Here is an 11637-nt window from a genome sequence, read left to right as displayed (position 1 = left end):
CATGAGCAAGAAGTTTCTATGGTGTGTGCTATGGTTTGAATATTTGTCCCCTCCCAAATTCATGTTGAAACTTAATACCCAATATAACAGTATCAAGAGGTGGGGCCTTTCAGAGGTAACTGGGACATGAAGGCACATTAATCCATCCTGCCTTCATGTATGGATTCATCCATTCATGGATTAATGAATTAATGAGTTATCATAGGAGTAGGCAAGTTATCACAAGAGTGGGTCTGTTATAAAAGCCAGTCTGGCTCTCAGTGAGCCCCTCTGTCTATGTGATACCCTGAACCACCTCAGTACTCTACAGAGGGTCCTCACCAGCAAGAAGCCCTCACCAAATGTGACCTCTCAGCTTTGGACTTCCCAGCCTCAGTCTCTAGAACTGTAAGAAATAACCTTCTTTCCTTTATAAGTTACCTACTTTTAGTTATTTAGTTATAGCAACAGAAAACAGACTAAGACAATATACCCCGAGGCTTGCGGGTATTTTCAAGCAGCAAGCTGATTATTACAACTATCAATTATTTGAAATAAAATGTGTGACTTGGAAAGGAAAGCTCAAAAATAGAAAGGAGTTTATTCATAGAAAAAAAAAAAGAGGGAGAGAGAAAATCTCAGTAGGACTGCGTGTACTAGTTATCTATGCCCCATAACAAATTACAACAAACTTAGTGGCTTATTATCTCACAGTTTCTGTGGATCAGGAGGGCTTCTGCTAAAGGTCTCACAGGCTGCAATTAATGCGTCAGCCAGGGCTGGGTTCTCACCAGAGGCTCCACCAGGGAAGTGTCCACTTCCCTGCTTATGTGATTGTTGGAGGCATTTGACTCCTTTCAGCTGAGTCCATGGCAGTTTGCTTCTTCGAAGCCAACAAATGAAGAGAGAGCAGAACACATCTGCTAGTGACACAGGGTCTTTTTTAACCCAGCGTCATCACAGAGTGGCCTCCCATTGACTTTGCCACGTTCCGTTGGTCAGAAGCAAGTCAGAAGCCCTGCCCATACTTAAGGGGCGAGATCACACAAAGGCATGAGTGGAAGGAAGCAAGCACCTCAGGGAAGGGGATGACCGAGCCTGTTCACCGACGTTCACCTTCTATCCCCCACGCATGATCCATATCAACTGTTCATCCATTCCTATGTCATGGCGGTCTTGGACCTGTGCTATTGAAGAGTTGGCCAGGAGAACTTAAGGAAAGATGGAAGGAAATAGTGATATGTTCTGGAAAATAAAAAGCTGAATGAAGCTACATTAGCTCTTTGTTTCCTTTTTAAGGATCTTCATGGTCGGGCACAGTGGCTCATGCCTGTAATTCCAGCACTTTGGGAGGCTGAGGCAGGTGGATCACGAGGTCAGGAGTTTGAGACCAGCCTGGCCAAGATGGTGAAAACCCGTCTCTACTAAAAATACAAAAATTAGCCAGGCGCAGTGGCAGGCACCTGTAATTCCAGCTACTCGAGAGGCTGAGCCAGGAGAATCACTTGAACCCAGGGGACAGAGGTTGCAGTGAGCCGAGATCGTGCCACTGCACTCTAGTGTGGGTGACAGAGTGAGACTCCATCTCAATAAAAAAGCATCTTCATTACATTTAGTAGGAAAATGTGACCCAGGAACTCTGCCTTTTGTTACATGCCCTAGAGAGAACCACTAGCATGGGAAACTTCTACACAAGCCTCAGCATTTGTCATATCAAGAACTAGAAAAAACCTATCTGCCCAGCAATAGAAGAATCGCTAAATAGATTTTGGTCTTCTGTACTCTGGAATACCTTGTATTAGTTTAAATAAAAAGGGCAAATTTGAAGTATATTGTTGAGTGAAAAAAGATAAAGAATGCACATGCAGTATGACACTACGTGTATAAATACTCATGTAGACAAAACATGGAATATTTTCTAAGTATAAAATGCACAGTGTAATATCTGGAAAGACGTATAGTAGTAACAGTACTGGTCAGTTAAGAGCTCCTCAGCTGACAAGAACTGTGTCAGGGGAGGGATCAAAGGAGAGTCTGGTCATAGGTAATGTTTTGGCTTTTTGTGTATAGAGAATGTATTTTTATATTACTTACATAGTGAACTATGAAAGGAGTATAAATTAGAGATTCTATATATGGCATCTATATAGCTGTATAGATTGCAATGGTTTAAAAATATATCCACTCTCAGCTGGGCGCAGTGGCTCACACCTGTAATCCCAACACTTTGGGAGACCAAGGCAGACAGATCACCTGAGGTCAGGAGTTCAGGACAAGCCTGGCCAACATGGCGAAACCCCATCTCTACAAAAATACAAAAAAATTAGCTGGGCATGATGGCAGGTGCTTGTAATCCCAGACACTCAGGAGGCTGAGGCTGGAGAATCGCTTGAACCCGGGAGGCAGAGGTTGCAGTGAGCCATAATCATGCCATTGCACTCCAGCCTAAGGGACAGAGCAAGACTCTATCTCAAAAAAAAAAAAAAAAAATATATATATATATATATGTGTATATATATATATGTATATATATATGTATATATATGTATATATGTGTATATATATATGTGTATATATATATGTATATATGTATATATATGTATATATATGTATATATATGTGTATATATGTGTATATATATGTATATATGTATATATATGTATATATATATGTATATATATGTATATATATATGTATGTATATATATATCACTCTCATCGCACTACTGAAAATAAAGAAAAAAATTAATGATAGTACATTTTAAAATTGAAGAAAAATATGTCCACAAATTCTTTGATACATCTACCAGCAAGAGATGGGACTCAATTCCCTCCCTTTAAGTGTAGACTGGACTTGGTGATTTGCTTCTACAGAGTAGATTAAAGCAGCAGTAATGGCATGTCCCTTCCGAGATTAAGTTGTAAAAACACTGTGGCATGTGGCTGCTTTCTCTGTCTTCTCTCTCTCTCTCCCTTTCTCTCTCTCCTCTCTCTCTCTGTCTCCTGTCTCTCTCTCTCTCTGTCTCTCTCCCTCTCTCTCCACTCACTTTAGAGGAAGCCATGCTGTGAAAAGGTCTATGTGGTGAGGAACTGAAGCGTCCTGCCAGCACCCATAGGAGTGAGCTTGGAAGTTGATCCTCTAGTTCCAGCTTGGAAGTTGATCCTCTAGTTCCAGTCAAATCTGCAGACACTGGAGCCCTGGCAGATATTAAAATGTTTGTCATTTTAAGCTGGTAAATTTAACAGTAATTTGTTACACAGCAATAGGTAACTAATACATAGGTTCATTAGACTAGTAGTGGCCCTTTGCAACAAGGTGGTATTTCCACCCTGGAGCACATGAAAGTGTTTTGAATGATAGAAAGTATATCTCAATTCAGTTCAACAAATATTCATGTGCCAGGAATTATGAAAGGTATGAAGTTAAAATAAAGTTCTTGTTTTCAGTGCACTCACAATCACTAGACATGGAAACTCCTGTTTCATCAGGAAAAAAATATAACCAAAGCTCTACCAAACCTTTGTTGCATGATAACAATCACCAAAATCCTAGCATCCGCCTTGTCAAAAATGTTCTTCTGAAGTTTCAGATAGACAGAGGAAATAAATTTCAAGATCTATTACACAGCAGGATGACTATAGTCAATAATAAAGTACTCTATATTTCTAAATAACTATGAGAATAAATTTCAAATGTCTCACCATAAAAATGATAGGTAAACAAGATGATGGATATGTTAAATTTGCTTGATTTAATCATTCCACATTGTCTACATATATTAAAACATCGCATTGTATCCCATAAATGTATAGAATCATGATTTATCAATTAAAAATATTAATTTTAATACAATTTTTTTTGAGACAGAGTCTCACTCTGTCTCCCAGGCTGGAGTGCAGTGGTGTGATTTCAGCTCACTGCAACCTCTACCTCCTGGTTCAAGCAATTCTCCTGCCTCAGCCTCCTGAGTAGCTGGGATTACAGGCATGCACCACCACACTCGGCTAATTTTTGTATCTTTAGTAGAGATGGGGTTTCACCATGTTGGCCAGATTAGTCTCCAACTCCTGACCTGAAGTGATCCACTCACCTTGGCCTCCCAAAGTGCTGGGATTACAGGCATGATCCATGGTGCCTGGCCTTTAATACAAATTTTTAATGTTCTTCTGGTCCACCTGTAGTGGAATTTTCCTTTGGCTTTTAGAATGCATTCTTACAAGCTCTACTGCCAGAATCACATCAACAATTTGACAGCTGCCCAATGACTAATGATGAAAAATACGACATCCACATGTTAGCAGTGGGTGTTGAGGTTACTGGTGACTTAATTTTCTTTATTGTGATTCTCTTTTCCAAATTTTCTGCCGTAAGTGTGTATTAATTTGAAAAGCAAGGCTGGGTGTCATGGCTCATGCCTGTAATCCCAGCACTTTGAGAGGCCAAGGCGGGTGGATCGCCTGAGGTCAGGATTTGAGACCAGCCTGGCCAACATGGTGAAACCCCATCTGTACTAAAAATACAAAAACAATTAGCCGGGCATGGTGGCGGGTGCCTGTAATCCTAACTACTTGGGAGGCTGAGGCAGGAGAATCACTTGAACCCGGGGGGAGGCAGAGATTGCAGTGAGCCGAGATCGCACCACTGCACTCCAGCCTGGGCAACAAGAGCGAAACTCTGTCTCAAAAAAAAAAAACAAAAAACAAAAAACAAACAAAAAAAGTAAGTGCTAATTCTTTTTAAATGCCACCACATATCAATCAATTAAAAAAAATGTCTTTTTCTCTGTTGACATTCAGAACCTGGTTTCACTGAGTCCCCACCTCATGCTGTGGAAAGGTCTATGTGGTAAGGAACTGAAGCCTCCTGCCGACAGCCACAGGAGTGAGCTTGGAAGTCGATCCTTTAGTTCCAGTCAAATCCAGTTCACCACAAAGTACTTAATTTTAGCCAATGTGACCCCAAACATTTCTCAAAGGCAGCTGGGTAAGCCCTGTGATGGGCTTATGTCCTATAAGCAAACAAGTAAAACGGTATTACCTGATGGAAAAGTTTCCTTGATTTTGAGATCTTTCTGGGGCTAGGGTCTTGTGTCTTGTTTCTAAGGCTCAGACCTAGAAACAGAAGGTGGGCAGGGCCCTGGATCCTCAAACCTCTGGGAGCCATTTGAGGCACCCCTTTTTATTCTCGAAATTGTCCCGTTTTGGACAGTAAGTCAGAGGGTCACCTAACTGCATTGAGAAGGAAACCCTTGGGAACCTTCTCAAGTCTCCATAGCTCAGCCAAGTTTCTCTTCCAAGCTACACCATGCAGGGCCTGACACAGCTACCGACCCTTGGGACTGCAGGTAGTCATTAGGGAAAATCTTTCAGGAGGAAGATTCCACTCTCTCCTAGAAAATGACAAAGTGCCCTTCCAATCCCAATGCTAATGATTCGGGTTTTGATGTTAATTCTCAAAAGCTCAGGTCAGTGAAGATGGGGAAGCTGCTTCCCATGAAGTCATACCCTCAGCTCTGGGCTGAGTTAGATATTCCATAGTCAGAGCCAGTGAATGGTAGCAATGTGTTCTCCCACTGGGACTAAATCTCTCCAAGCACCCTGCATTTCTGTCCAGTGAGTTGAGTCTACCAAGCTTTTGGAGGTGTCAAGACGATGGCACATTTTACTGAAAACAAGTCACTCCCGTCAGCTTCACAATCAGTAAAGGCAAGAAAAGGAGCAGACCTCACATCTGCTCTACCTGGAAGCTTTTCCATCCTGCAGATAAGCCCTAGGCTGCCAGTACAGGCCCCCACTCTTTTAGGAGTGTTCTTCCTCACCGCCGATGCCATGATGGGGAGAGTCCATGGAACTGGCTTTCCTGGAGATGTTCGTAATAAACAGGGGAGAGAAAACACAGAAATTGCCATTCAGTTCAACACACTGGGTGATGAAAGAGAGAGGATAAGAGGGGAGTTGCATATACTTAGCCTCTTTCAAGTGCCAGATGGTTGGCTGGCGTCTTTGAATCGTGCCTTCACAATGTTCCATAGGACTGGCCTCAGGTAATTAATTCTCACGCTGAGTAGAGAAGGTCAGGGCGGTGTTATCGCGCAGTTATAAATTTCTCCATTTACTCCAAGAGTGGAACCTTAAGCTGAAATAATTCATCCAATTATTCCCCAGAGTACCCCCATCCCCACCTTGTCAGTGATACACAACGTGACCGGGCAGGTCATTTCTTTTTTCTGGGCCACCTTTTCCCAAAGGGATTGAACCAAATGATCTCTAGGCACCCTTCCTATTTTGAGGGTCCCTGATATCTGAAACTACCACCCCGTTCTCCTAATAATGAAAAATGTCATTCAGTTGGCCCTGAAGAGCTGGCCCTCTGAGCTGTTCCTTGTTCTCGGACCTGTAAAGGGTCCTGGAGGATGCCAGTGGTGGATTTGGATGAGGAGCATGTCTCAGGAAGGCGAGCGACCCCAAGTGGTTAGGCCAGGAAGTAAGCCCTTGGATTTGAGTTACGGATGGATTTCCCATGAATGTCAGACATATATTTTTTAAACCCTTGAGATCTATTTCACAAGTCATAAGAGATAAATGTCTGAAGAAAACACATGAAATGTTCCAGTAGGTAGTAGGTCTCCAGAGAGGTTTTACCAAGAATGGCAGAACAAACGGGAGTTGAAGAAAAAAGGTCAGAAAAAAAGGAATCACTTTTCATTTAAATCAGCATAAAACTATGGATTGGAGAAGAACAAAGACTAGAAATCACTGACCACTAGACTGCTAGAGCCTACTTGAAATCAAGGACCCTCAGATAGTGCTGGGACAAGAGCCTTGTGGCCTCTGAGGTCCAGACACTCAGGGTCTATTTCTGGTGTTATCCTCTGGCAGGTGATCGCTGTCAGGCCTCTGAGCCCAGGCCAGGCCATCGCATCCCCTGTGACTTTCACGTATACATCCAGATAGCCTGAAGTAACTGAAGATCCACAAAAGAAGTAAAAACAGCCTTAACTGATGACATTCCACCATTGTGATTTGTTCCTGCCCCACCCTAACTGATCAATGTACTTTGTAATCTCCCCCACCCTTAAGAAGGTACTTTGTAGTCTCCCCCACCCTTAAGAAGGTTCTTTGTAATTCTCCCCACCCTTGAGAATGTACTTTGTGAGATCCACCCCTGCCCACCAGAGAACAACCCCCTTTGACTGTAATTTTCCATTACCTTCCCAAATCCTATAAAACGGCCCCACCCCTATTTCCCTTCGTTGACCCTCTTTTCAGACTCAGCCTGCCTGCACCCAGGTGAAATAAACAGCCATGTTGCTCACACAAAGCCTGTTTGGTGGTCTCTTCACATGGACGCGTATGAAATTTGGTGCCGTGACTCGGATCGGGGGACCTCCCTTGGGAGATCAATCCCCCGTCCTCCTGCTCTTTGCTCCGTGAGGAAGATCCACCTACGACCTCAGGTCCTCAGACCGACCAGCCCAGGAAACATCTCACCAATTTCAAATCCGGTAAGCGGCCTCTTTTTACTCTCTTCTCCAACCTTCCTCACTATCCCTCAACCCCTTCTCCTTCACCCTCAGCGGCAAGTCCTGCTTTCCTGGGGCAGGGGCAAGTACCCCTCAACCCCTTCTCCTTCACCCTCAGTGGCAAGTCCCGCTTTCCTGGGGCAGGGGCAAGTACCCCTCAACCCCTTCTCCTTCACCCTCAGCGGCAAGTCCCGCTTTCCTGGGGCAGGGGCAAGTACCCCTCAACCCCTTCTCCTTCACCCTCAGCGGCAAGTCCCGCTTTCCTGGGGCAGGGGCAAGTACCCCTCAACCCCTTCTCCTTCATCCTCAGCGGCAAGTCCCGCTTTCCTGGGGCAGGGGCAAGTACCCCTCAACCCCTTCTCGTTCACCCTTAGCGGCAAGTCCCATTTTCCTGGGGCAGGGGCAAGTACCCCTCAAACCCTTCTCCTTCACCCTCAGCGGCAAGTCCCGCTTTCCTAGGGGGCAAGAACCCCCCAATCGCTTATTTCCGCACCCCAACCTCATCTCTGTGCCCCAATCCCTTATTTCTGCACCCTGACCTCTTATTTCCGTGCCCCAACCCCTTCTCTGCTTTTCTGGAGGGCAAGAACCCCCCACCCCTTCTCCGTGTCTCTACTCTTTTCTCAGGGCTTGCCTCCTTCACTATGGGTAAGCTTCCACCTTCCATTCCTCCTTCTTCTCCCTTAGCCTGTGTTCTCAAAAACTTAAAACCTCTTCAACTCACACCTGACCTAAAACCTAAATGCCTTATTTTCTTCTACAATGCTGCTTGACCCCAATACAAATTCGACAGTAGTTCCAAATAGCCAGAAAACAGCACTTTCAATTTTTCCATCCTACAAGATCTAAATAATTCTTGTCGTAAAATGGGCAAATGATCTGAGGTGCCTGACGTCCAGACATTCTTTTACACATCAGTCCCTTCCTAGTCTCTGTGCCCAGTGCAACTCGTCCCAAATCTTCCTTCTTTCCCTCCCGCCTGTCCCCTCAGTCCCAACCCCAAGCGTCGCTGAGTCTTTCTAATCTTCCTTTTCTACAGACCCATCTGACCTCTACCCTCCTCACCAGCCCAAGCTAGGTCCCAATACTTCCTCAGCCTCTGCTCCTCCACCCTATAATCCTTCTATCACCTCCCCTCCTCACACCTGGTCTGGCTTACAGTTTCGTTCTGTGACTAGCCCTCCCCCACCTGCCCAGCAATTTATTCTTAAAAAGGTGGCTGGAGCTAAAGGCATAGTCAAGGTTAATGCTCCTTTTTCTTTATCCCAAATCAGATAGCGTTTAGGCTCTTTTTCATCAAATATAAAAACCCAGCCCAGTTCATGGCTCGTTCGGCAGCAACCCTGAGACGCTTTACAGCCCTAGACCCTAAAAGGTCAAAAGGCCATCTTATTCTCAATATACATTTTATTACCCAATCTGCTACCGACATTAAATAAAACTCCAAAAATTAAATTCCGGCCCTCAACCCCCACAACAGGATTTAATTAACCTCGCCTTCAAGGTGTACAATAATAGAAAAAAGTTGCAATTCCTTGCCTCCACTGTGAGACAAACCCCAGCCACATCTCCAGCACGCAAGAACTTCCACCTCATCTGTATCTTGTTCACAACATCGGCAAAGCCATTCCCGAGTGAATTGCTCCCTTCTCTGCTCACATCACTCTTCACTTGTAACCGATGGATAAAATTCTGTCTTGCATTATAGTTTGCTCATTCAAATAATGTAGGTATTCAGCCAATACTTAATGACTCCCTAGAATGTGTAAACTTGAGGCTGAGAATATAACAATAATCAGAATAGACACAGCCCCTCCCCTCCTAGAGCTCACAGAGCTTAGAAACTAGCGAGTGAGCAAGACTTTAAACTTAGCATCACAGAAGTCAATGTAGAAATACAATTTTAAATGTGCAATGATAGGAAGATACAGGCTTCTGTAAGAGTGTCTAACAGGGTTACCTGATGGGGTCTTCAAAGGTAGGTTGCAAAAGTTGCATTTGTCCCCAACTATTTTACAAGCAAGCTCCCTGTAGGTATGATCCCATATTTATCTTTGCCTCTCCTACAGCCCTAGTCAGTGGCATATAGTAGCAGCTCAATAAATGTCTGCTGCAAGAAAGAAGTTACCAGACCAATTCAGTGCCAGGTCTTACTCCCACTTGAGTTAATAAAAAGCTCTAGTTACATGCTTCTAAAAGATATAACCTGTAATGTTTGCTTTTACTCCTTTTCAAGGAAGAAGTTCTAGAGTTCCAAACATTTTAAGAGAGGATTCAAGGGAGAAAGTTTGTGTAGCTAATGATCCAGCTTGGTATGGTTTATCTCAAAGCCAGGGGAGTTTTTGCTGCTTCACCCTGTCAGCAGGGAACGGGCTCTGAAGATATGGGAGATTACAGGAGCTTTCAGGACAAAGGCACATAAATCAAAAAGAATGAAAAGAAAACAAGATCCTTGATCCTCCTCCTGTTAATGTTCTTTTAAAAGTATTTTGTGAGAGGGTGGGGTGGGGAGGGTAAGGTAAACAAAGTTTTTAAATGGGAGTTAAGCCAGACGTTAAACAGCTGAAGCCAGCGTACAGCCTGGGTCTGTCTCTGTCTCTCTCTTTCTCTTTCTCTTTCTCTCTCTCTCTCTCTCCTTATTTCTTTCTTGCTGTTAACAATCCAAAATGATTAATAATTGAAAAATGATATCAGATGTCAAAGAGATAAGCCATTTCTTCCCTCTCATTTCAGTTCCTGTTTGGGTCAGAAACCCCAAGCTGTATACAGATCTCCTTTTGGTGCTGAAATGCTTTGGGCTCCACGGAATAAATCAAGACAAGAGTGCAAAATAGTGATGAGCAGGTCAGAGTATCCGGAGCAGAGTTGCTTTCTTCCAAAAGAAACAGAATAGATCTGATTTGGATTTTAATATTAACTCATCAACATAGATGTCTAAGAGCTATGGAGGTCTCACGCCCTCTATAATAAATGAAGGAGGGACCCAAGCCCCGTTACCAGAAACCTAGGCAGAAGTCATTCCACTCCAGGCCCCTCAGGCTTCTGGTCTTCTCTAAGATGCATGACCAGAACCTAAAGATACAGAAAAGTTCATTTCTGCCCCTGAAACTTCCACCAGTGGTCTACAATCATACACAGCAGATCACTTCCTCAAAAATTAGAGTTCCCATATAAAATTCAAGATATACAGTTACATTTGAATTTCAGATAGGCAATAATTTTTTTTTAGTATAAGTATGGTCAAAATGTTGCTAATTGGGGTGTCCTGTACTTTAATGTTACAGGACTTTTATGCTAAATCTGGCAACCCTTCCAGGTATCAAACTCAATAGACCTTAAAAATGTATGTTTACGGCCGGGCGCGGTGGCTCACGCCTGTAATCCCAGCACTTTGGGAGGCTGAGGCGGGTGGATCATGAGTTCAGGAGTTCAAGACCAACCTGGCCAACATGGTGAAACCCTGTCTCTACTAAAAATACAAAAAATTAGCTGGGCTCCGTGGCAGGCGCCTGTAATCCCAGCTACTTGGGAGGCTAAGGCAGGAGAATCACTTGAACCTGGGGGGCGGAGGTTGCAGTGAGTCAAGATCGTACCACTGCACTCCAGCCTGGGTGACAGAGTGAGACTCCGTCTCAAAAAAAAAGAAAAAAAAAAGTATGTTTACCAGATAAAGTACAGGACAGCCAGTTATATTTGAATTTCAGATAAACAACAAATCATTTTTTACTATACCCATGTCCCATGCTGCAATATTTGGAACACACATATTATTTAAAAATTACTTGCTTCCTATCTGAAATTCAAATTTAACTGAGCATTCTGTATTTTTATTTACTGCGTTTGGCAACTCTACTCACATGTTCCCTCCAACAGTTTCATGGAAGTAAAGCTAAGAAAAGAAAAAAAATAAGGTCATTCTGAGCTGAGATGAAAAGTCCAGAAAAAACAAGTCGGTGAAGGGAATGTGGAGGAGACAGCAGCGGGTCAGTCATACCTCTTTCCTTTAATAACTAAGGTTCCAAAATCGTGAGCTTAGAGATAGCTCTACTATTCTTATATTTTTGAAAATATTATATCTGAATTATTTCCCCTTTTCTGTGTTGTTTATTTGTTCTCTCTAATCAACCTTATCAGAG

General features: G+C 43.4%; 1 long non-coding RNA gene across 1 annotated transcript; it reads right to left on the bottom strand.

The window, feature by feature from the left end:
• Nucleotides 1-561: 561 nt before the first annotated feature.
• Nucleotides 562-9553, bottom strand: LOC105376123 (uncharacterized). Its single transcript, XR_930068.3, has 6 exons — nucleotides 9462-9553; nucleotides 5944-6114; nucleotides 5719-5838; nucleotides 4800-4987; nucleotides 3026-3176; nucleotides 562-1190 (listed from the first exon to the last, which is right to left on the bottom strand). It is a non-coding gene; the product is annotated as an uncharacterized LOC105376123 (long non-coding RNA).
• Nucleotides 9554-11637: the final 2084 nt, after the last annotated feature.

Source organism: Homo sapiens, chromosome 9 (assembly GCF_000001405.40).
Source record: "Homo sapiens chromosome 9, GRCh38.p14 Primary Assembly".
Lineage (NCBI taxonomy): Eukaryota > Metazoa > Chordata > Mammalia > Primates > Hominidae > Homo > Homo sapiens.
The sequence above is the reverse complement of the archived record's forward strand: the minus strand, read 5'-3'. Positions and strand labels throughout refer to the sequence as shown.